The 25,539-nt window shown below is 54.0% G+C and overlaps 1 protein-coding gene across 13 annotated transcripts in view; it reads left to right on the plus strand.

Annotated features, from left to right (window-relative positions):
- CTDP1 (CTD phosphatase subunit 1) overlaps positions 1–25,539 on the plus strand; it is a 79,858-nt gene that overhangs the window by 35,422 nt on the left and 18,897 nt on the right. For 8 of the 13 annotated variants that reach the window (XM_047437924.1, XM_047437922.1, NM_004715.5 and 5 more), the window contains 6 exons: positions 783–949; positions 2,302–3,339; positions 5,346–5,487; positions 5,621–5,827; positions 16,718–16,880; positions 24,166–24,332. In XM_047437924.1, coding sequence (XP_047293880.1) covers positions 783–949; positions 2,302–3,339; positions 5,346–5,487; positions 5,621–5,827; positions 16,718–16,880; positions 24,166–24,332 — 1,884 coding nt within the window. The remainder of the gene's footprint in view (positions 1–782; positions 950–2,301; positions 3,340–5,345; positions 5,488–5,620; positions 5,828–16,717; positions 16,881–24,165; positions 24,333–25,539) is intronic. The other 5 variants (XM_047437926.1, NM_048368.4, XM_047437927.1 and 2 more) reach the window with 3 other exon arrangements.

Here is a 25,539-nt window from a genome sequence, read left to right on the forward strand (position 1 = left end):
CATGCCCAGGATAGGCCCCAGTGGTGGGTACTGTGGTTTGCATGGAGGTAGCTGGAGGTCCGCTTAGAAATTCTGCATCAGCACTGGGTCTGGTTTTTGTTTTTTTGTTTTTGAGACGGTCTGGCTCGGTCGCCCAGGCTTAAGTGCAGTAGTGTGGTCTCAGCTCACCACAGTCTTGACTTCCTGGGCTCAAGCTATCCTCCCACTTCAGCCTTCTGAGTAGCCGGGACTACGGGCGCACACCCCCACACCTGTCTAACTTTTGTATGTTTTGTAGAGACAGGGTCTTCCTATGTTGCCCAGGCTGGTGTCAGACTCCTAGGCTCAAGAGACCCTCCTGCCAAGACCTCCCGAAGTGCTGGAATTGCAGGCATTAGCCACACAGCGCCTAGCCTGGTCTGTTTACAGAGTCAGCAAATTCTGGCCTTTAGGCTACCCAGCCTTGTTTGTACATGAAGTTTTATTGAAACATGGTCACGCCCACACGGTCAGAGTTGGGTTTCGTCCCCGTGGCCCGTAATGCCTAAAATAGTGACTCTGGCGCTTTAAGAAACAGTTTGGGAACTCCTGCCTGAAGGAGAATCGGAAACAGCACTGAAGATGTTACTGAGGTTTAAATGCGACCCAAACAGAAAGGGCTTCGGGGCGGTTGGTGTCCGTCTGATTAACCTGCTGTCTGCTGGTTACATGTGGATTAGAATCTTAAACTGTTACGCTTGGCAAGATGAATGACTACAACTTTTCATTATTATTTTTTGTAAATTATGCATTTTCACTTGTAGAAATCTCTTTCCTTGTGGAGACTCAATGGTTTGCATTATTGATGATCGAGAAGATGTCTGGAAGTTTGCCCCCAATCTGATAACTGTGAAGAAATATGTATACTTCCAGGGCACGGGTGATATGAATGCGCCCCCTGGGTCCCGAGAATCTCAGACGAGAAAGAAAGGTGGGTAACCTCCTTCCTGATTCTCTAGAAGAATTCACATTTGCTTATTGTTTAGCTCTTCTTATTTCTTATCTCTGTTTTGACTGCTATAAATTCAAGATACACTTTTTTTATTTGTGTTTCAGTAGAGATTATTGGATTTATTTATAGAGTACTGAAAAACAGGATATTAGGTTGTTTCAATTTGGGCTTTAAAAAAAATGGCCCTCACTTAAGCGTTTTCCCAGTTGAATAAAAACTAGAGGATGCTGTTTAACCTAACACATCCGAATAACTCCCTTCATCCCAGTTTTCCTTAAACACATCCCTGGGTATTGGGCCATAGTGTTCTGTAGAGAGAGTGAATGTGGGGGCGGTGGCTCTGCGGGGAATAACCGTTCCCCATGCGCAGTGGTCAGGCTGGGCGCTGGCTGGGGCCCCAGAGAGCAGCGTGGTTTAACTTGTCAGTCAGGCATGCAGCTGACGTCCACCCTACGAAAGTTAAGTGTTTTTTGATCTTTAGTTTTTTGAAAAATATTTTGAGGCACACGTTTATTGCTGTAGTCACTAAAATGGAACTTGGAGGTTAGGACCAGGGGAGGGTGAAACTAGGGGCATTCCTGTAGAAGGTAGAGACTTTCACCAGATGGGTGGGGTCAGCGTGGAGTTGCTGACTTCCTCCAGACCGTGGCTTGGGAAACCGTGGCCATGGTGGTGCCAGGTCATCCGGGGCTTACAGTCACGGTGGCGCCAGGTCTGCAGGGGCTTACGGCCACGGTGGCGCCAGGTCTGCAGGGGCTTACGGCCACGGTGGCGCCAGGTCTGCAGGGGCTTACGGCCACGGTGGCGCCAGGTCTGCAGGGGCTTACGGCCACGGTGGTGCCAGGTCTGCAGGGGCTTACGGCCACGGTGGCGCCAGGTCGTCAGGGGCTTACGGCCACGGTGGCGCCAGGTCTGCAGGGGCTTACGGTCACGGTGGCGCCAGGTCTGCAGCCCGGAAACCTCTAGTTGTCCTTACAGGTGGAGGATCCCTCCTCCCCCAAATCCAAAGCTTTTTGAGTGCCCACATGGTGCTTAAAGGAAATACTCATTAGGGTATTTTGGATTTTTTGGATTGGGGATGTTCAGCTGGTAAGTTTAACGCAAATACTCCAAACTCAGAAAAAAATTCAATATCCAAAACGTCCCTGGTCCCACGCACTTCAGGTAAGGGGTGCTCACCCTGTCCGGCCTCTTCACAGCAAGGTTGCCAAGGCCTGGTCTAGAGGGTGGTGGACTTCACAGCCATGGAGAAGGGTGCTGCTTTAACTTGGAACGTTATTTAATGTTTAATGCTAAATTGCGGTAACTTTTCCTTTTGCATGCATATTTAGTAAATCATTCTCGAGGCACTGAGGTCTCAGAGCCATCTCCGCCCGTGAGAGACCCTGAGGGGGTAACGCAGGCCCCTGGAGTGGAGCCCAGCAATGGCCTGGAGAAGCCTGCACGGGAGCTGAACGGCAGCGAGGCCGCCACCCCGCGGGACTCACCCCGCCCCGGGAAGCCAGACGAGAGGGACATCTGGCCCCCTGCCCAGGCCCCCACCAGCAGCCAAGAGCTGGCAGGCGCTCCTGAGCCCCAGGGATCCTGTGCGCAGGGTGGCCGGGTGGCACCGGGACAGCGGCCTGCCCAGGGTGCCACGGGCACTGACCTGGACTTTGACTTATCCAGCGACAGCGAGAGCAGCAGTGAGTCCGAGGGCACGAAGTCCTCCTCCTCCGCCTCTGATGGCGAAAGCGAGGGGAAAAGAGGCCGGCAGAAGCCGAAGGCTGCCCCAGAGGGAGCCGGGGCGCTGGCACAGGGCAGTTCCCTGGAGCCGGGGCGGCCTGCAGCACCGAGTCTCCCCGGAGAGGCCGAGCCTGGCGCGCATGCCCCGGACAAGGAGCCTGAGCTGGGTGGGCAGGAGGAGGGCGAGCGGGATGGCCTCTGCGGCCTGGGCAACGGCTGTGCCGACAGGAAGGAGGCGGAGACCGAGTCACAGAACAGCGAGCTGTCGGGGGTCACTGCGGGTGAGTCCCTGGACCAGAGCATGGAGGAGGAGGAGGAGGAGGACACGGATGAGGATGACCACCTCATCTACCTGGAGGAGATCCTGGTCCGTGTACACACTGACTACTATGCCAAGTATGACCGCTACCTCAACAAGGAGATCGAGGAGGCGCCGGACATCCGCAAGATCGTGCCGGAGCTCAAGAGCAAGGTGCTGGCAGACGTGGCCATAATTTTCAGTGGGCTACACCCGACAAACTTCCCGATAGAGAAGACGCGGGAGCATTACCACGCCACGGCGCTGGGAGCGAAGATCCTCACTCGGCTGGTGCTGAGCCCCGACGCCCCTGACAGGGCCACGCACCTGATCGCCGCGCGAGCTGGTGAGTGCTGCCTCCCTGTGCCCTGGGCATGGTCAGGCCCGCGGGCTCCTTGCAGGCACTCCTTAGAGTTGGCATTGCTGTTTATCTCACTTTCAATTTTCAGAAACATTTCCCAGAATCACCATCTTTTAAGAATAGATCATGACAGTGGGTGAAATTGGAGTTTGGGCACGTTCATGCTTTCAGACCGCAGTCATCGCACACACCATTCAGGGGTGGGAGTTACTCGTGTGTAGAAAGTTCAACCTTCTCCCTGGAGTAAGCCATGGCCGGGTTGGAAAACAGGGAATCAGCGATAGGGACGTAGTGGAGAAATTCGAGGCAGGAACAGGAGTTCGCAGGTAAAAGATTGACAAACCCTCTGAGTTAGAAAACTAAATGCAAGGTTTCAGCTGAAACGTGCACAGAAGGACACGTTGTGGCTGGGAGGGCGGAGGACAGGCCTGCTGTCTCCCGACGGTGAAACCTGTCCCGGACGGGGCAGGCTGCTCTGACATGTTGAAACTTCCGCCGAATAAAACAACCTTTCAGCAATAGGTGATTCTTGAAGGAAGACTTAACACCCCGGTGCTTAAAAAACCCAAATACCTCGTTATTCTAGTTATTCTGTGAAAATGCTCCCATAAGCACCTGGATTTTCCGCGAATGAAGATTGCGGTTTTTCTCCTCCAATCTGCTTCCTGTCCTGGCGGCGTTTCCTGAGAGGGCTTCTCAGTGCGTGGCCCCGCCTCCGGGGCTCAGGAAAGCCTTGTGGGGTGAGCTCATCCCTGTCCACGCACGCTCCCTGACAGCAGGTGTGGTCTTATTTGAGGCCACGGCTCTGGCACGTATCATGGGGCGTTGGACACGCATGTGCTCAGTAAAGCATTTGAATCAAGGGTAAATGGAAGGTTCCATCTCAGTGTGAAATAGCCAGGTGCTAGCTGCAGGGCAGAGGCGGGCTTTCCGTGGAGCCCAGCGAGACCCTTGATCCCAGGAGAAAGCCAAGCCCTGGCCTCCTGTGGGCAGTCAGACCCTTCTCTCCTGAGCGTGGAGCCGGGCCAGGCCGGGGTCCTCCTTGGCCCCTCAGGTGCCTGTCTGCCCTGCCGCGTGTCTGCCCAGCTCCTGACCCTTCTCTCCTGAGCATGGAGCTGGGCCAGGCCAGGGTCCTCCTTGGCCCCTCAGGTGCCCGCCTGCCCTGTCCTGTGAGTGCCCAAGCTCCTGGCCCTTCTCTCGCATTCCTTCCTTCCCCCTGAATTGTGCTCACGTTTCCTTTTTGCTTCTGTGTACGTGGCCTCACTGTTGAGAGGCTTTGCTGAACACATGCTAAGAGAGGTCCTCCTGCTGCTCAGGTCACCCGCTGTGCCCGGCTCCCCGTCTGAGATCCACCCCTTCCCACCATGGCTGCCTATCCCTGGCCTGGCAGATGGGAACCTGCAGTGGGCAGCCCTGGTGGGGTGCAGCCGGGTGAGGGCCCTGGTGGGGTGCAGCCGAGTGAGGGCCCTGAGCCCTAGTGGGGTACAGCTGGGTAAAGGCCCTGAGTCCTGGTGGGTACAGCCGGGTGAGGGCCCTGAGCCCTGGTGGGCTGCAGCCGAGTGAGGGCCCTGAGCCCTGGTGGGGTACAGCTGGGTGAAGGCCCTGAGTCCTGGTGGGTACTGCCAGGTGAGGGCCCTGGGCCCTGGTGGGGTGTAGCCGGGTGGGGGCCCTGGTGGGGTGCAGCCGAGTGAGGGCCCTGAGCCCTGGTGGGGTACAGCTGGGTGAAGGCCCTGAGTCCTGGAGAGGTGCAGCCGAGTGAGGGCCTTGGTGGGGTGCAGCCGGGTGAGGGCCCTGGTGGGGTACAGCTGGGTGAGGGCCCTGAGCCCTGCAGGGGTGCAGTCAGGTGAAGGCCCTGGTGGGATGCAGCCGAGTGAGGGCCCTGAGCCCTGGTGGGGTACAGCCAGGTGAGGGCCCTGGTGGGTGCAGCCGGATGTGGGCCCTGAGCCTCCAGTGCTGGCCGGAACAGCCTGACGCAGCCGGGTCTCCTGCAGGCACAGAGAAGGTGCTGCAGGCACAGGAGTGCGGACACCTGCACGTGGTCAACCCTGACTGGCTGTGGAGCTGCCTGGAGCGCTGGGACAAGGTGGAGGAGCAGCTCTTCCCGCTCAGGGACGATCACACCAAGGCACAGAGGTGGGTCCTCGCTGCACCCAGCAGGTCCGTGCCAGGCGTTCCCTTGCTGGACAGCTGTTGGTTCATGCACCTGGGCAGTGCCCCTCATCACCCGGACGCCCCGCTCATGGCCCTCGTTCTCTTCCTCCGACAGGGAGAACAGCCCTGCGGCCTTTCCCGACCGGGAGGGTGTGCCCCCCACCGCCTTGTTCCACCCGATGCCGGTTCTTCCCAAGGCCCAGCCTGGCCCCGAGGTTCGGATCTACGACTCCAACACGGGGAAGCTCATCAGGACGGGCGCCCGGGGGCCCCCAGCACCCTCCAGCTCCCTACCCATCCGCCAGGAGCCCTCTTCCTTCAGGTACGTGGCGGCCCAGCCACTGTCCCCAGCTAATGAGGGCTCTTCAAGCTTGCTGCTCCAGTCTGTTGGGGGGATGGCGTCAGTTGCCCGAAGTGAGGGCGGGTGGAGGCTGCAGACGGTGACTCCTGCTTCCACCTTGTGGGAGCGCCGCCCCCGCTTGCAGTCTTGGGTCCTTTTGTTTTTCTCTCCTGTCTTGGGTCCCAAAACTAAAACAAAACCCCGACCATCAGCTTCTCAGATGTTGTCCAGGCACCCGCATGTGCCCACCTGTGGCCGCCCCGCAGAGCACTCGGTCCTGGGAACACTCAGCAGAGAACGAGCAGAGCCGGGCTGGTTCTGAGCCCCCCTCCCCACTCGCCTCACCATCTGCTCTCCGCCGGCTCCACGTTTGCTGCTCTGCCAACCCCAGGCTGCCCTCTTCGTTTCCACACAGAGCAGATGCAGGGGTTGGTGGCAGTGGCGGCTGGTAAACAGCACTGTGAGGAAGGGAAACTTGATTGGACTGGAAGGCGTTGGTAGCCGGGATCTGTGCTGCCCTGGAGTGGGGAGATTGCAGGCCCTGAGGGATGCTTCCTGAGCATGTGGCCTCTGTGCCTGTTTGCCCGCGTGGACCCGAGATCAGCCCTCAGCCTAAGGTTGTGGCCCCTGGAGACCCCATGTAAATGGCTGTGGGACATTGTTGGAGATTTAAGTGAGGAGTCTTTGTTTGTACCGTGGTTGTTGCTTTGAAATTCAACCAAAAGTTCAACTCAATTAAACTTGACCCAGGCAAGGAGCACCCACCAAGACCTGGTGTGCGTTTGCCCCTGGAAGCCGTCTGACAGGTCACAACACCTCAGATCCTGTGACGGGTACAGAATGCAGGCTGCTAGAGGGAGACGGGTGCTCACGGTTAATGGGGAGATGGAGAGGTACGGCTTGATGTCCTTTTCGAGCCTTTGCAGGATCCAGCACTGTCCCTGCGTGGGGATGCTGAGGCCTGGAGTGCATGGCCCTCCCAAGTCAGGAGCAGGGGTGGCCAGGGCGTGGCCTTCGCACAGTGGGTGGCAGCTCCCGAACCTGGGTGGACAGGTGAGAAGGCCCCGCCAGGCACCGCGGCAAAGCCCAGCCGGCTTTCGGGAGAGGCCGCTCCCTCTGGAAACGCGCTCTAGTTCCTCCCCGGTTTTCTGTTTCATAGATTGTGTTTTGTCTTTTACGATTCTGGAGAGCAGCGTGTGCCCCTCTCGGCTGATTTCACGGCCCTTGAGGTCATGGTGGAGAGTGTTGCTAAGAGGAGGAGTCGGGTCGGGTGACTGGGATGTGGGCAGGTGCAGGGTGGCTGCGGGCAGCTGGGCCGGTGCGGGTGGCTTCCCGTGCGGCAGCCTGGCGACGCTCTGGGACCTAGGGGGTGGGGGGTTTGGGATGAATCTGAGGTCCTCCATTCTGATGACAGGGAAGAGGATCCCCAGCCACAGAGATGATGTCATCCCTGATGGATAGGAAGGTGTCCTCGTGATGATGTCACCTCCCGTTGTTAGGAAGGCATCCTGGTGATGTCACCTCCAGTTGTTAGGAAGGTGTCCTGGTGATGTCACTTCCCATTAGGAAGGCGTCCTGGTGATGATGTCACCTCCCATTAGGAAGGCGTCCTGGTGTTGATGTCACCTCCCATCATTAGGAAAGCGTCCTGGTGATGATGTCACCTCCCATTAGGAAGGCGTCCTGGTGATGATGTCACCTCCCATCGTGTCCTGGTGATGCTGTCACCTCCCATCATTAGGAAGGCATCCTGGTGATGATGTCACCTCCCATTGTGTCCTGGTGATGATGTCATCTCCTGCTGTTAGGAAGGCGTCCTGGTGATGCTGTCACCTCCCATTAGGAAGGTGTCCTGGTGATGATGTCACCTCCCATCGTGTCCTGGTGATGATGTCACCTCCCATCATTAGGAAGGCATCCTGGTGATGATGTCACCTCCCATTGTGTCCTGGTGACGATGTCATCTCCTGTCGTTAGGAAGGCGTCCTGGTGATGCTGTCACCTCCCATTAGGAAGGCGTCCTGGTGATGATGTCACCTCCCATCGTGTCCTGGTGATGATGTCACCTCCCATCATTAGGAAGGCATCCTGGTGATGATGTCACCTCCCACTGTGTCCTGGTGATGATGTCACCTGTTGTGTCCTGGTGACGATGTCATCTCCTGTCGTTAGGAAGGCGTCCTGGTGATGCTGTCACCTCCCATTGTGTCCTGGTGATGTCACCTCCCATCATTAGGAGGGCATCCTGGTGATGATGTCACCTCCTATTGTGTCCTGGTGATGCTGTCACCTCCCGTCATTAGGAGGGCGTCCTGGTGATGATGTCACCTCCTATTGTGTCCTGGTGATGCTGTCACCTCCCGTCATTAGGAAGGCGTCCTGGTGATGATGTCACCTCCCATCGTGTCCTGGTGATGCTGTCACCTCCTGTCATTAGGAGGGCGTCCTCGTGATGATGTCACCTCCCATCGTGTCCTAGTGATGATGTCACCACCCGTCATTAGCGCATTCTGGTGATGATGTCACCTCCCATCGTGTCCTGGTGATGTCACTTCCCATCGTGTTCTGGTGACGATGTCATCTCCTGTTAAGGCATCCTCGTGGTGATGTCGTTTCAGGTCTTTAGAAGGGCTTCCTGTTGCGGGCTGGTTGGGTTTTTAATACAAGGTGTCTTTCCAACACTGCTTCTCTAGCTCTTCGAGGCCAGCAGGTGCCTAAAGTTCAGTTTGTTTCTGACGCTGACGACCCACGGTTGTCATCAGGCCTTGAGTCTAGGGGCTCAGTCCCACCAGGCTGCCCTCATCTCGGACCCCCAGGCCACCTCACTGTCCAGCTTGGCCACAGTGTTGGGGGTCCCCACACACAGACTTGTGCAGTTTTGATAATCTGCTGAATCGGCTCACAAAATTCTGGAAAACGTTTCACTCAGCAATACCAGTTTATTTTAAAGGCTCAAGAACAGCCGAATGAGGGGGCGCCTGGGGCAGGGTCCAGAAGGGCCCTGAGCATGGCACGTGCCCTCTGGAAGCTCTCCGTCCTTTCATCTGTGGCGAAGGCATAGCTGATCCCACACGCTGCCCACTTGCTCCTGCGAAGCCTCCTACCCTGGAGCCGCTCAGGCCCAGCCCACAGCCACTCTCACCACTGCGGTGATCCCAGGGACTGGGAACAGGTCTCTTTCTGTAACACCAGGGCTTAGTGCTTTGGTGCTACTCTTACTTCTTTATTTGACTTAATTAATTCCAACTCTCCAGCCAGTTGACAAAGCTCCTGGACACTTCTGAGAACAGCAGGGCGGAACCTGGCCTATGGGATTGCTGTGGGCCAGTCAGTGAACGGGCCAGCACCACCTAGAGCAGAAGGATGTGGAGACCCCCCGTCTAGGAAGTCAGGGTCTGTTCTGTACTGTCATTCTAATCAGTAGAAGCACGATGGCAGGACAGATACGTGCACTGAAGTGATACTGCTGAGATTTGGTTTCGAAATTATGTGATAATTTAAAGCAGCCACACGATCAGTACTGCGAACAGCACCTGTTCTTTAGACGCTGCTTTTCATACTGTTGAATAAAATATCCAGGGGGGTGGCTCGCACTGTAGTCCCAGTGCTTTGGGAGGTGGACCCGCAAGGATCTCTCGAGCTCAGGAGTTCAAGGCTGCAGTGAGCTGTGATCGCACCCCTGCGCTTCATCCTGGGCCACAGGGTGAGAGCCTGTCTCAAAAAAAAATTTTTCTTAATAATTTAAAATAAAATCACAAACCTTTGACTTATTTTTTCTTCAGTATTTTTATTTATTTTTTTTTTTTTGAGACGGAATCTTGCTCCATCGTCCAGGCTGGAGTGCAGTGGTGCAATCTTGGCTCACTGCAACCTCCGCCTCCCAGGTTCAAGCAATTCTCATGCCTCAGCCTCTTGAGCAGCTGGAATTACAGGCACGTGCCACCACGCCTGGCTAATCTGTGTATTTTTAGCAGAGATGGGGTTTCATCATGTTGCTGAGGTTGGTCTCAAGCTCCTGTCCTCATTGTCTTAAACTACATAAAGTGGTTAAAGATTAGATACAAAACTGGTGTTTTAATAATTCAGCCTTGCTTGAAGTGAGCTAGGAATTTCTAAGATCAATGAGAAAAAAATAATTGTTATCTGAAAACAGACTTGCAGATGGTAAGCTGGATTTGAATGAAGTCAAACACTTTTACTTGAATGACACTAATAACATGGCAGCCGATAACTGTGTATGTGTGTTCTGAAATGTGTATAATTTACGTGAACAGCAGCAGTTCAGTTTCGAATGGCACGTCATAAACAACTGTTTAGCTGTGCCTTCCGTGAGGAAGATGCACGCTGGGCTGTAGTTCATTTGAATAAGTCGACTTTTGATGAAATTTTCTTCTGTTTTTAATGTGAAAGTGTAATTTGCACCAAAATATCAATATTACTTCAGTTAATACCAGCTCATTTATACGAAAGGATGTTAATGTGATTTGTTAGGTTGCGATAATCGTCAGTTTGGTGGCGGGAAGCAGCGTTGTTGTGGCTGCAGCAGCGGGCCCCCTGGTCTGGGTGATTGCAGGCTGGATGCATCTTTGTCACGTTAAGGAAATGTCTCTCCCTTCACTTGTACGTGTTGGAAACTGAGTTCTCCTAAAATGAGCCTGGGTTCTGCTTTTTGATAGTTTTCAAAATTGATGAAACGACCTACTTACATCAGAAAAAAGGAATCCCTGTTTGAATGTCTCCCTCCCCAGGCTAGACATAGTGCTGGAAGTCTGAGGAAACGGGACCAGCCGGCAGGAGTTCTGCGGGGCCTTCGTGCTGCGGTGAGGACCTGGGCCTGTGTGGATTGGCCACGCCTCTGGTCCCACCCTCCCTTTTCTCCGTAGGCCTCCATCTTGGAGGAACAGTAGAGTGTTTTCTTCTGGTTTAATCCAAGAGTCCCCCCTGCTTGTCTGAGTTCATGTGGCGCCTGCCCAGTTCCCTGCACTAAATAGACCTGTGTCCGCAATGCCACTCCACGTGTGGACCCCTAGTGCCTGCAGGACCACTCCACCTGTATAAACGGGTCCAGCGTGGTCTCCTGCAGCCACCCTCACACGCTTGCAACAGCACTGGTGCCCTGCAGCCCAGTTCCCCCATGGCACTCCTGTCTCACGGAGGGTCCCACACCTGAGCAGCCCCAGGCCTCATCTGTCACGGGCATTGGTTGCCCGATTCCCCCATGGCATCCCGTCTCACAGTGGGTCCCGTGCCTGAGTGGCCCCAGGCCTCATATGTTGTGTGCATTGGTTGTGCTGCTGTGGAGGTGGCCCCGTCTCCCCACCCTCCTGAGAGTGGTGGTTCCTCATTCTGTTCTCGGAACCCCGTGCAGACCCCATTGTGACAGGACGCTTGGCAGTGAGGGCAGTTGGCCCTTCGTCCCTGGACTGGTCCTCATCTAAGTCTTTGAACGTTGTACGTTTTTTCTAATTCTGGCTTTGACCTTTTTGGTGCTGGGCTGGCAGGCTGGCTCACTGGGGACCTGGGGGTGAGTGGGAACATTCAGTTTTTTGGTTAGACTTTTTGAGATATTTGTAGATATATATGCAGTGATAATGCAGAGAGGCCCTTTGGACCCTTTATCCTGTTTCCCCTGTGGTTGCCTCTTGTGAAAGTGGGGAACAGGCTCACCACTAGGACCCACACAGACTCATCCAGACACAGAACCCTCACACCAGCTCCCCTGCGGCCCTTCATGGCCTCAGCCGCTTCCCCTTCCCTGACCCTTGGCCCTCCACCTGCTGTCCCTCCCTGCACCGCGCCCTCTCCGGAGTGCTGTGTACGGCAAGTCGGCAACCTTCTGGAGTTGGCCCTCCTCCCTCAGCCAGTTCCTGGAGCACCTCCGTGCCCCTCATTCATGTCCTTCTCTTGCGGAGCCGGGTCTCATGGTGTGTGGTGGAGCCAACTGTGGTTTCACCGTTCACCCTTTGAGGGATATTTGGGTTGTTTCCAGCCTTTGCTCTAAATGTTTGCACAGGTTGAGCCTCTCATCCGAAAATCCAAAATTGGGAATGCTCCAAGGTTCGCATCTTTCTGAGCACGAAGATTCGCACCTTTCTGAGCACTGACGTGGCCCTGGAAGGAAGTGCTCATCAGAGCATTCGGATTTGGGGTCACCGGTTGCAGATGCTCAGCCCGTAAGTGTAACACAGATATTTCAAAATTCAAAAATCCAAAATCGGAAACACTTTTGGTCTCAAGCATGTTGGATATGGGATGCTTAACCTATCTAAGTTTTTATTTCTTTGGGATAAATGTCCAGTGGTAGATACAGTTGCTAAATTGGATGGTGAGTGTGTGTTTAGCTTTTTAAAGAAACTGCCAGACCTTTTTCTGGAATACCTGCATCATCATTTCATGTTTTCAGCAGCGGTGAGTGACCCAGGTGGCGTGGCCAGTGCTGTTTATTGCAGCCATTCTGATAGGTGTGTCCTGAGCTGGTTGTGGCTGTAACCTGCATTTCCGTGGTGAATAATTACCCATCACTCCTGTGTTTGTTCCATCTGCTAGTCCTTGGTTGGATGTGTGGCTTACAAATCCTTTCCTCCCAGTCAGCAACTTGAGTTTTCATCCTCTAGAGGGTCTTTGGCAGAGCAAAAGTTATTAATTTTCACGAGATTCTATTTATCACTTCTTTCTTTTAGGAATCGTGCTTTTGCTGTGAAGTTAACTAGTAGCCCAGTCCCAGATCCCAGAGATTTTCTTGATGTTTTATCCTAAAAGTTCTATAGTCTTTCATGCGACACCTCAGCCCCAGATGCTCTTGAGGGTGGTTTTCTGGCCCCAGCCGCATTGTCGCCGGCGCCGTCCTCCCTCCATGGCTGCTTCTGCCGCAGCGTCTCGAGGGCACTCAGGTGCACCTGTGTGGTCTGTTTCTGGGTTTTCTGCCCGTAGATGCCCTTGATCAAGTTGGATTTCCTGTTTTCTGTGTGTTGTTATCACCAGTGGGTGTTGAATTTTTTAGGAGTTTGTTGATTGATATGATGGTGTGTGTGGTTTTTCTTCTTTTGCCTGTCAGTATGTGGTGGTCACATTGACTGATTTTTGGACATGAAAACAACCTTGCACCCCAGAAACAATTCCCGTTGGTTGTGGTGTATAGTAACCTTGATGCGCTTCTGTGAAGTGTCTTTATGTTGACGTTGAGGGGCCTGTGGGGCTGCACTTGTCACGTTGTGTGCCGTCTGCCCCCAGGTTTGCTGTGGCTCCCGTGATGAGGTGGGAAGCGCCCCACCCTCCAGCATCACTGGTGAGACTGCGGACTTGCCCCTTCCTTTCACATATTCGGGAGAATTCTCCAGTGAGACCGTCTGGTCCTGGAGATTTTATTTTTGCAAGGTTTAAAATTTCATATTCATTTTCCTTAACAGTTACAGGGCTTTTCACAGGACCTGCTGCGTTTGGGTGAGTTGTGGTTGTGTTTTTGAAGGAATTGCTCCGCTTACCTTCTCTATTTTTTTTTTGTTTGTTTTTCAGCCTCCTTATTTCGTACTTTCCTTCTGCTTGCTTTGGGATTATTTCTTATGACTTTTGTTTTGACAGTCAAGTGTGGTCTAGAGAACTCGAGCGGAGTCTCCGGTGCTTGCCCGGATTCCTGCTTCCGTCCTCACGGGAGGTTCCCTCGGGGTCCCTTCCCTCCCGACCTGACCTGGAGTGTCCATCATGCTCTCGGGGCAGGCCTGGGCCCTCTCCAGTCCCTCCCTTGCTGGGGGACGTTTTCACAGGACAAGACTCTGGGTTGATCTTCCTTTTTCTCGGGGCCTGAAAAACATCCGGCTTCCTTCTGGGCTCCGTGGTTCTGATGAGTGATCTTCTGTCTTTGACCGTTTTTCCTGTAGGTAAGCTGTGTTTTCTCTTTCACTGCCTTCCACGTTTTTCTCTGTCTTTAGCTGAGGTTTGATGACGAGGTGTCCTGGTGTAGATTTGGAGGGTTTACCTTGTTTATGTTTGACTCTGCTTTTTGAGTTGGAAGGTTTATGTCTTTTGACGTCTTTGGGACATTTCCAGCCATTGCTTTTCAGGGCCATCTCTGCCATGCTGGGACAGCAGGGACACGGATGCTGAGGCTTTTTGTATCTCGTGCATCTCTAAGCTGTGTTCTTTTTCCTGTTCAGCTCGTTTTCTCTGTTGTCCAGGTTGGGTGACTTCTGTTAGATTTTCGGGTTCACAGCCTTCCTCTGTCTCCTTCATTTGTTGCTAGTCTGTCCAGGACATTTTTTGGTTTTAGTTTTTATTTTCTGTTTATAAAATGTCTGTATCTTCTATTTCTTTGCCAATCCTTTCTGTGTTTTTCAGTTGTTTCAAGCATACTTGCAATTGCCTCTTGAAGCATTTTTATCATGGATGCTATAAAATCATTGTGAATTTTAGCATCTCTGCCCTCTCAGCTTGGCCCTTGTTGATTGTCCTTTTCTCCATAGTTTGAGATCTTCCTGGTTCTTGCTGTGGCAAGTGATACTGGATTGAAACCTGGACCTGTCACATCATGTTAGGAGACTCTGGATCTTATTTAAACCTTCTCCCATCACTGATTTTTTTTTTTTGGGCCATGCTCCAGCAGCAGGAGTGGAGGCCCCCTTGTTCCTGCCATTTGGGATAGGAGTCCAGTTCCCCACACGGCCTCTTTTTGATGCCTGAGAGTGGGGGATGGAGGTGACGAGGCCATTGCTGGTGGACGGCTGTGGGGGATGGGGGTGACACCATTGCTGGTGGACGGCTGTGGGGGAAGGGGGTGACGCTGTTGCTGGTGGACGGCTGTGGGGGATGGGGGTGACGCCATTGCTGGTGGACTGCTGTGGGGGTGGGGTGACGCCGTTGCTGGTGGATGGCTGTCGGGGTGGGATGACGCCGTTGCTGGTGGACGTCTGTGGGGTATGGGGTTGATGCCGTTGCTGGTGGACTGCTGTGGGGGTGGGGTGACGCCGTTGCTGGTGGACAGCTGTGGGGTATGGGGGTGACGCCCTTGCTGGTGGACGGCTGTGGGGGCTGGTGAGAATCCTGACCTTCCCGCGTGGGTGTGTGGGGCCTCATTGCTGCCGGTGGGGTTGGATGTCAGGCTCCTCCATGGCCTTCTCTGAGACCCCAGAGGTGGGGTGTTTGGCGGGAGTAGAGCAGTTATCATAGGTTTTTAACATTTAGTTGAAACATTTAATTCAGTTTAAAATAACAGTGCAGTTGGCCCTTTGAACAACACTGCTTTGGACTGCGTGTGTCCAGTTGTACGTACATGGGTGTTTCAGCCAAATGCAGGTGGGAAGCACAGCGTTCGCGGTGTTCGCGGGATGGGAAGCGTGGCGTTCACGGGATGGAAAGCGCAGCGTTCACGGTGTTCACGGGATGGGAAGCGCAGCGTTCGTGGGGTGGGAAGCCTGGCATTCACGGTGTTCGTGGGATGGGAAGCGCGGCTTTCGCGGGGTGGGAAGCGTGGCGTTTGCGGCGTTCGTGGGATGGGAAGCGCGTGTTCACAGAGGGCCGCCGTGAAGAGTGGACTTTGACAAGGCTTGGGAAGTCCTGAATTCCAAACAGCGCAGATCAGCACTTTCAGATTTCTGGGCAGAAAATCTTCTCTCCATTAGTAAATAGCCTAACATGGTTGTGTCTTTTTAGTTTTGTGACTTTGACTTAGTGCCCGTTTTCCTTCACCAGGATGGGTTTTATCACCTTCATCCTCGTGCCTGTCCCGAGCGAGTTGGTATCTGGGACGCACGCTTAGTGCCTCCTGGTCTCATCCTTTGGTCATCCAGGGAAGAACCAGCAGCTAGAAACAGCCGCCTCTCAGGAGGGCCGCACCACCCCTTTCCCAGAGGCTTGCCTTAAATTCCAGCAGTCAGAGGCATGCATCAGAATATATTAATAAGATTGACATATCCAGATCGAGAAAGATGTGTACAGAGGAGAGAAACTATTTCAAACGGAGCTGCGGTTTGAACATAGCAGAAAGATCCTTGAAACAGAAGATTGGCCCTTTCTAGTTGATTTATTACATTAATATTTAACTATACAAGCACAAGATTTACCTTTTTCTGTTTTTTCGTGAATTTTTTTTTTAAGGTGGAGTCTTGCTCTGTTGCCCAGGCTGGAGTGCAGTGGCGCAATCTCGGCTCACTGCAACCTCTGCCTCCCAGGTTCAAGCGATTCTCCTGCCTCAGCCTCCTGAGTAGCTGGGATTACAGGCGTGCACCACCACACCGGGCTAATTTTTGTATTTTTAGTAGAGATGGGGTTTAGCCATGTTGGCCAGGCTGGTCTCGAACTCCTCACCTGAAGTGATCCACCTGCCTCGGCCTCCCAAAGTGCTGGCTTTACAAGCATGAGCCACCGTGCTGACCTGTGAAATGATTTTAATTTCAGCCCACTGACGTCTGTTTTGTCACTTGGCCGTTTTTTGTGTCTGTTTTCGTAGCCTGGAGATGTTGCATTTTCTTGTTTTGTGTTTTGCCGTGTAGCTCTCCGGACCCTATTTTGAGGGTGAATGACATGTCCTGGGGGTTCCCAGAACACGCTTCATCTCCCGTCTCTCTTTGCCCTTTATTCTAAGATGCCAGAGCCTGGCAGATGCTCTCTGCCCCACGGGGGTTTTGTGGATAAAAGAAGATGGGTGTTATTTTTCCACAGGATAGTCAGAAACGTGTTTTGCCAGTCACCCTGGCTCAGTTAGCAAATTCTGATCCATTAACCTCTGAAAAGTGTATTGGCGAAACATCACGTTTTTCATACGTGTTCCCTGTTGGGGTGTGTGAGTGTTTACCTAGTCCGAGAGCCAGGAGTCTGATTCGGTGCGGAAAAGTGCCATTCGAACTGACCTTCCTCATGTGGGACCTATGAAATTCCTTTCAGAGCGGTTCCGCCACCCCAGCCGCAGATGTTTGGTGAAGAGCTGCCTGACGCTCAGGACGGAGAGCAGCCTGGCCCTTCTAGAAGAAAGCGACAGCCCAGTATGTCTGAGACAATGCCGCTGTACACTCTTTGTAAGGAGGATTTAGAGAGTATGGACAAAGAGGTGAGCCAACCCCACGCCCCGGTGCCCGCGCCAGCGCTCGTGCTGGGGCCGCAGAGCTCTGGTGTGCGGGCGGATTGCTGAGCTGTGCACCTGGAGGCCGAGCTAGAGTCCTGCACTTGTGTAGTTGTGTCTGGTTTGGGACGAGCACTTGTGTTTTTCACGCAACTTCCTATTCAAGGAGACCTAGAACAGCATTAAGCAATGTGTCCGCAGTGTGTGGCATGAGAACACGTGGAAGTTGTGGCTTAGGATTCGTGCCTGCGTCTTCACCAGGACCGATGCCGCCCAGCCCCTCCGGCTCTCCCGGCTCACCCCAAGGACATGGGACGGGGTCTGGAGGCACTCATGGTCATGACAAGGGGTGACCCTGGGGCCGGTCAACACCCCCTGCCTGACGCCGACCGGCCCCCATTGAGAAACGCTGGAGGGCTGTGTGTTGCACGTGGGCCTTAAACACACGCACACAGAGTGACTGGTGATTCTCACAGCATCTCGTTATCACAGCGCGAAACAACTTTAGGCAGCATCGGTGGAGCTGGGGTTTTCTCAGCCGGGTCCTGCTTGGCCCCTGTGTCCTGGGCCCCTTGGCCCGTGTGCTTCTCCTCTTGGGTCCCAGGCCGCCCCCTGATAGAAGGTTCCACAACAGTCCGGATGTTAGGGATGGGCGATCTGCGCAGCACCGTCCTTCGGAGACTGTTCTTTAGGAGGACTGTCCTGGAAAACCACATCCCATGTCCTCCTGTAAGGTGCCCTCATGGGTGGCGCCTGTGTGGGGTGCTCACCTGCAGCTGGTCAGGGCACAGGCCGTCCCCTTCCCTCAGGTCTTCATGTTCCCACCAGAGCCTATCCTCCCTGCCCGCCTGGCACCGCTGTCCTCTGGAGAGAGCCACCATTCTGTTTGCATCCAGAAGGCAGCAGAGGTTCTTGAGGAGGAAAACAGCTCCTGTGTATCTTCAACAGTAGCAGAAAAATGCAGATAGTTCTATTCAGGACAGACTCGTCTCAGTAACTCAGGTCATCACCTTTAGACGCCAGTTTATCTTGTGAGGATCAGACCCTTTTTTGAGGTGTGCTGAATTTCTCTGCCATTTTTCTGTCTTTTTGAACATTAGCTGTTTTTTGTTTCACAAAAATGTTTTCTCTAAAAAAAATTTTTCTCAGCCACTACCTGTAAGCCCAGACCACTTTATTTAAGATTCCAGAAGGTTCTGTATAAGGAACAGTCACCTGCCTAGGACCAGGGGTGGGAGGAGAGGAGGGAGGGACGCTGCCTCTTCCTGCCTGGAAGCTGCTGACACGTCCCGTCTCCCTCCTGGTTTCCTGGTCGGGCGTGGAGGACTCGGGGTCTGTTCCCCACGCAGTCCTGTTTCAGGCAGTGGTGACAACTGGTTCTTAATGGTTGAATTCTCAATGGGAGACAGATGTCTTGAACGCACTCAGCAGCTTTCAGCCACCCCAAAACCTAATCCTTTCTCTCAGAAATAAAAAGTAATCGTAACCCCCCAGATGTAGCTCTTTGGGAACAAATGGTATTGAAAGCAGAAGGCTGCAGCCGTGGATTGTTCTGTGCATGGGAGAGAGGCCAGAGGGTTTTATGTTCGTGAATTTTTAAAGCCTCCTTGATTCTCTGTGAGTCCTGGGCCCTTAAGACAATCAGCGCCTGCAGGCAGGAGAAGGGGTCAGAGGAGCCCCGGCGCCAAGGACCCGAGGCCTCTGGAAGCTGGAAGATGTGAGGAAGGGATTCTCCCAGTGGACACCTGGATTTTGGTCCTGTGAGGCTCATGTTGGACTTCTGACCTGCACAGCTGTGAGGTTGTGAATTTGGATCTTTTGAGCCGTGGCGCCTGGTTATTACAGCAGCCTCAGGAAGCTCCTCGTGGCCTGGCCCTGGCCTGACAGCCTCGTCTCACATGTGTCCCTCTTCCACTCCATGTGCTTGGGGCAGATGAGGCAGCTTCACCCCAGATAAGCCTGTCTCTCGGGCCCATTGCCTGCACCCCCCCGTGGGCCTGTGAGACGGACTAGGTACCTGCCCCCGGGTGCTCCCTGGAGGCTGCCGTGGCCCCTCTTCATCCTGGGGACACATGGGGTGGGGCTGCTGCTCGTTTTGGGGCACAGACGATGGGGAGTCAAGAGGATCTGGAACCAGGGTCAAGTGCAGCCCGTCAGGGGGCCTTTGAGTGAGGGGTGTCGAGATCTCTGGCCATTTCCGGCGCGTCAGTGTGTTAGGTGGGCATTGGCTGCTCCAGTGGTAGAGGAAGGGTCTCCACGTCGACAGAGGAGAGGCAAAGTTGCTGACCCAAGAGTAGCACCTGCCGTGGGGGATGCTGCTCCCACCCACACTGACAAGGGCTTCCCCGCCCCTCATGTGAGGAGCAGCTTTGGGAACTCGCGCCTGGTCAGTGCTGTGGGAATGTGTGCCCAGTTCCTTGAGACCCAGTAGGCATCTGGATTTCTTCTCGGGTTTAAACCACGGAGGCTTCTACAGCTAGGAGACCACTCACTTGATGTCACTGCTTTCAAGGAAAACCCGTCCCCGTGTAGCACATGCTTCTGACCTCCACGTCCAGAACATGCCTAAGCAGAGCGAGGCATGGCGTCAGTAAGCGTTCACCTGCAACGGCTTTGAAGAAACCTGAAAGCCATGAAAATTAACGTTGTAATTTTATCTTAACCATTTTTAAATTCTGCATTTAATATACGTGGAAGCCAAGAAATATGATGACCCTGATAAAATGCCTCAAGAACAGAGGCCGGGTGTGGGGCCACCATCACCAGGAGTGCTCCCAAGATCACATGAGATGTAAGAACTCACTAACATCAGGAGTGCTCCCAAAATCACGTGAGATGTAAGAACTCACATTAGGAGTGCTCCCCAAATCAGGTGAGACATGAGAACTCACTAACATGAGGAATGCTCCCAAAATCCCATGAGATGTAAGAACTCACTAACATCAGGAGTGCTCCCAAAATCACATAGACATGAGAACTCGCTAACATCAGGAGTGCTCCCAAATCACATGAGATGTAAGAACTTGCTGACATCAGGAGTGCTCCCAAAATCACGTGAGACATAAGAACTAACATCAGGAGTGCTCCCAAAATCACCAGACGTAAGAACTCGCTGTCATCAGGAGTGCTCCCAAAATCACATGAGACTTGAGAACTCACTAACATGAGAAGTGCTCCCAAAATCACAGACATGAGAACTCGCTAACATCAGGAGTGCTCCCAAAATCACTTGAGACATGAGAACTAACATCAGGAGTGCTCCCAAAATCACGTGAGACATGAGAACTCACATCAGGAGTGCTCCCAAAATCACGCGAGACATGAGAACTCAGGAGTGCTCCCAAAATCACGTGAGACATGAGAACTCACATCAGGAGTGCTCCCAAAATCACGTGAGACATGAGAACTCACATCAGGAGTGCTCCCAAAATCACGTGAGACATGAGAACTCACATCAGGAGTGCTCCCAAAATCACGTGAGACATGAGAACTCACATCAGGAGTGCTCCCAAAATCACGTGAGACATGAGAACTAACATCAGGAGTGCTCCCAAAATCACGTGAGACGTAAGAACTCACTGTCATCAGGAGTGCTCCCAAAATCACTTGAGACTTGAGAACTCGCTGACATCAGGAGTGCTCCCAAAATCACGAGACATAAGAACTCACTGTCACCAGGAGTGCTCCCAAAATCATGTGAGACGTAAGAACTCCCTAACAGGAGTGCTCCCAAAATCATGAGATGTAAGAACTCAGCTGTCACCAGGAGCGCTCCCAAAATCATGTGAGACGTAAGAACTCGCTAACATCAGGAGTGCTCCCAAAATCACCTGAGACATGAAAACTCGCTCTCACCATGAGTGCTCCCAAAATCACAGGAGATGTGAGAACTCGCTAACGTGGATTTTTCTTCTGGAAGCGACTCTAAAGCATGCACCCCCACACAGTCCCTGAGTCTCCTCGTGGTGGGCGTGGCCAAAGCACTGTGCCTGGTGACTGTGTGTGAATAGCACTCAGTCCTCGTGCTGTGGCCTCAGCACAGGACGAATGTGTGTTGTGTGTGTGGATCCTCACGCCACGGCCTCGGCACAGGACGGGTGTGCGTTTGTCGTGTGTGGATCCTCACGCTGCGGCCTCAGCAGAGGACAGGTGTGCGTTTGGCGTGTGTGGATCCTCGCGCCGCAGCCTCGGCACAGGACGGGTGTGCGTTTGGTGTGTTTGTGCACAAACACCCGCCTGTCTCAGCCAGCTCACAAAGAGACTCACACCCATGTGTCGGTCCCCCTGCAGGTTCCTGTGTGATCATGGAACTGCGGGGAAGGGAAGGTGCCGGAACCAGGGCTGGGAGATCACTGAGGGTTGAGGTGGGGCCCGTCTCCTGTACACCCCTGCGGAAAAGCCTGCTGGGCCCCAGAGCCGGCGTCCGCTGCCTCTGCAGCTGCGTTACCTCGTTCCTGCCTGTTCTGCTGGGCCCCAAAGCCGGCGTCCGCTGCCTCTCCAGCTGCGTTACCTCGTTTCTGCGTGTTCTGCTGGGCCCCAAAGCTGGCGTCCGCTGCCTCTCCAGCTGCGTTACCTCGTTTCAGCCTGTTCTGCTTCTCATGCTCAGGATGCTTTCCCGACCTTGCTCTGTGTCTCTTCTTGTTTCCCGTCCTCTCTCTTGAAGCCGTCCCACCTCACTCCAGCGCAGAGCTGGGGAGAGTTTTATTCTGTGATCCAGGGTCGTGCAAGGAGGTTGGTAGAAACATTTCATTTCCGTGCATTGACAGGATACCGTAGCATCTGCTGTTATCTGTATTTGCTCTTTGGTAGAAATTCCAACACTTAGGTATGAATTCACTTGTGTTTTTTCTCTTTACATACTTTTAAATTTTCCTTAAGATTAAAAAAAATTATGTTAGCATGTTTTAAGTGAAGTAAATACAAACGACCCTCAACTTTACAATAGTTCGCTTAACAATTTTCTAACTTTACAATGATGTGCAAGTGACGTGTGTTTGGTAGAAACCACACTTTGAATTAGAAGTCTTGGCTCAGAATTCTGTAGAACAGCTTGTTCCAAGTCGGCCTTGTGCTGGACGACTTTGCCAGCGATGGGGTAATGTCTGAGCGTGGAAGGCGGCTGGGCCGGGTGTGCTGACACGTTTTCAGCCTGTGATGGGCTCATCTGGACGTGACCCCATCCTGAGTCAAGGAGCCTCTGTAATGAAGAAAACTGTTTTTCAGAAAGCGCAGTCACCTTTTTTGTAAAAACAAGCCCAGGAAAGGTAGGTGTCGTTCCCACATCAGTGTGTTTACACGAGTCAGGCAGAAAGAGGGAGAGGAGATCGGAGGAGCATGATGTAGGCGAGGTCAGGTTTTAATGTGAATGTGTGCCCACGTTTCTGGCTTGGCTGTGCAAAACGTACCTCCAGATCTTCCAGATAGCAGCACGGGGGCACGTGCCGGGCTGCCCTGCCTCACCAGCGTTGGCACGGACGTCTGAGGCCCTCCCAGGTGGGGCGCCACACTAGCGAGGGTCCCTCGGGTCCGTGGGCTGCCGTGCTGGCCGGCCCGCCTGCCCTTGGCTGTCAAGTGTAAAATAACAGATTTTAACAGTGCCTTGTTTTTCTCTCTTGACAAGGTATGATGCCGTGTTAAAGGCCCTAAGTATTTCAGAATAGAATTTAGTAGAATTATTCCCGTAGGAGATTTGCCATCGAAACAGTAAATTCAGTGATGTAAGCATTCTGGTGAAGTGTGAATATTAGTAACCTTGTCGAGTAACCAGATGCTCTTATTAAATACCATTCCATGCCAGCGTCCCTGGGAACATGTTACTTTTAGAGATCATTATAATGACCTGATGATAAAGCCGCTGCCTTAGCTAATTAACCATTGGTTAAAATGTTTCTGCCTTTTAATGATTCAGGCCAGGGCACATGTGCTGTGACTAGCTGGACACGTGGCGATGAGTTTGAAATTGCAGAGTGGACGGGGTGGATGCGTCGGCCTCCATGTGGGCTCGGGGGCTGAGCTGTGATTTCTGATCGAAGCGGCTTCACACCGAGTCTCTGTGACTCTGGACTCGGCCTCGACTGCTCCGAACCGCGCCTGTCTCGGGAGTTGTGCTCCGTCCTCTGTGGCCGTTTCTCGTACCTGCTGCGGGGGTGGGGTTAGGTCGGCGTCGGTGAGTGCCCCTCAAGGCCCCAGCCAGGTGTGCACCCCCAGATCCCTCCTGGGAAACAGCCTGCGCTGGGGGACTGTGGTCAGGCCGCCCCGCCTCACCTGCCTGTCTCAGGGACCACGGGGCTGTGCCGTCGCACACAGACGCCCTCAACGTCGGAGAGCTGTGAGCGGGGCCGTGCTCTTGGGATGGGAGCCCCCGGGAGAGCTGCCCGCCAACACCACTCCGACGTGATCCATGCTGGACATAAAGTGCTCTTCCCTCCGCTAGTCATCGGCCGAGCGGGCCCCTCGCTCCTGGGTGTAAGTTCTTTCTGTGCGTCCTTCTCCCATCTCCGTGCAGTTCAGGAGAGGAGGGGAGAACTTGAGTTCACCTCCCGGCACTGGGCTCAGCCTCTCCCGCCGCCACATCGAGGCACTGACGGTACCCACCTCCCGCCTGCTGAGGTTCGGGGAGGCTGAGGTTTGGATGCGGTACTCCCATCACCTGCTCACTTGCCTGCCGCCTCTGTTGCCACTCCCGTCCGCGTCACACGTGTCAGGCGTGGGGCCGGCTGAGCTCACCCCAGGTGTTCAGGAGTCGCCCTCTCTGCATGTTTCCCAAATTGGAGGCGTGCCCAGAGCGAGCGGGTGGACATCTTAGCGAGCGTCCCTGTGGCACGGCCACGTCTCCACCCCCAGGTGGCTGCTCTCCCAGATTCCAGGATGGGAAGGACTGGGACGCCTCCCTGAAAGCCCTGCCACTCAGGAGTCTTGCTGTGAATCTCATTGATCTTGAAAATTTCAAGCAAATATTCTGATTATTCACCATAAAATCCAACAGTGCACCAGGAATAAAGTCCCTGTTCACATAAGGGACAGAAGGAATTTAAACCCAATCTTTGCCTGCGAACCGACTGGGTTTGCTCTGTGGATTTCCAAGCGTCTTTTGCCCGGGGCTTTGTTAAGGATTGGTTGAGTTTCAAGCCCCAGGGCTCAGGTAGAAAGCAGAGTGCTACCTCCAGCCCCCACCCTGCTGCACTCAGAGCCCTGGACTCTGCCGGGAGAAGCCTGTTGCGGAGGAACGGGGCCCGGGAAGGAGGTCTGTCGCTGACTCTTGGCTGTTTGTCAGGTGGACGACATCCTTGGAGAAGGCAGCGACGACAGCGACAGCGAGAAGAGGAGGCCTGAGGAGCAGGAGGAGGAGCCCCAGCCCCGGAAGCCAGGGACCCGCAGGGAGCGGACGCTCGGGGCACCTGCGTCCAGCGAGAGGAGCGCGGCAGGGGGCCGGGGGCCCAGGTGAGTGCGGGGTCTGAGGTGGGAGGGGCCTGACACGGGCTCCCGGAGGTGACTCTGCAGTTGGTGGGCCGCCTACCTGCATCTCATTCTTCACGCCCTCCACCATTCTGTGTGTGACACCAGCAGCTTCCAAACTCAGCAGCCCCTGGTGATGGCCACTTGGTTGTCTCCATGCTGATCCATGTCATCTTACATGTGTGCAGGCGTGTGAGGTGTGTGCAGGTGTGGGGGGGGATCTGTACATCTGCGCAGGCGTGTGTGGGGTGTCTACACGTGCACAGGCGTGTGGTGGGGGTATGCACGTGTGCGCAGGCATGTGTGAGGTGTCTACAGGCGTGTGTGAGGTATCTACACGTGCGCACAGGCGTGTGTGGGTTCTGCAGGTGGGGGGTCTGCACGTGTGCACGCAGGCATGTACGGGGTCTGTATGTGTGCACAGGCGTGTGCAGGGTCTGCACATGGCACTGCTGGTCAGGAGCCAGCGTCCTGCATGTCGAGGGTGGTGCCTGATGTGGGTCCCCCGCCGGTGACAGTGGTCCCCGCCTCCAGCGTGCGGTCTGTGGGTGGGAAGAGCTGAGCACCGTGGTTTGCTTTGCGCTTCCTTCGCCATGAATGAGGCCTGTTTTCGGGCGTTTGGCCGCAACAGCGCACTCTAAACGCTGCTCACCTGCTCCTTGTGACTGGTCAGTGTTTTCTGCATTGCCGTGAAAGGTATCTTTTTGTCACCTTTAACTTGGATGACATTTCTGCCATGCAGAGATGTTACTATTGTGCAGATCTTACAGCTGCTTGGTTCTGAATCTTGTCCGAGAATCTTAACCCTGTGTCTTTTCCTTGGATGCGTTTACGTTTGACCTTTTCTACATATGAATCTTTGTAAATTAAGATTTATTTTTTAGTAAGGGGGGGATTTAGCTTTTTTCCCAGATGATTAGCTCACGGTCCCATCGCAGTTTCTGACATCATCTTTCTCCACTAATCGGCTTTGTTCTCTGGATCTCTGTGCTGCTGTCGAATGGTGGGGAGGAGCCGGTTTGCTTTGAGACATCTTTTCTCAGGTTGGTCGATGAACAGGCATGAAACCCAGGGTGTGGAGAGGTCCCCGTCCCGCATCCCCCATGCATGTCCTTGTGTGAAAGGCAGCCACCTCACTGCCCGGTTCTGGGTGGTGGCGGAGACCTGCCGTGCCGTTAGGCATTTTGGGTGC

The sequence above is a fragment of the Homo sapiens genome, chromosome 18 (assembly GCF_000001405.40).
Source record: "Homo sapiens chromosome 18, GRCh38.p14 Primary Assembly".
NCBI lineage: Eukaryota > Metazoa > Chordata > Mammalia > Primates > Hominidae > Homo > Homo sapiens.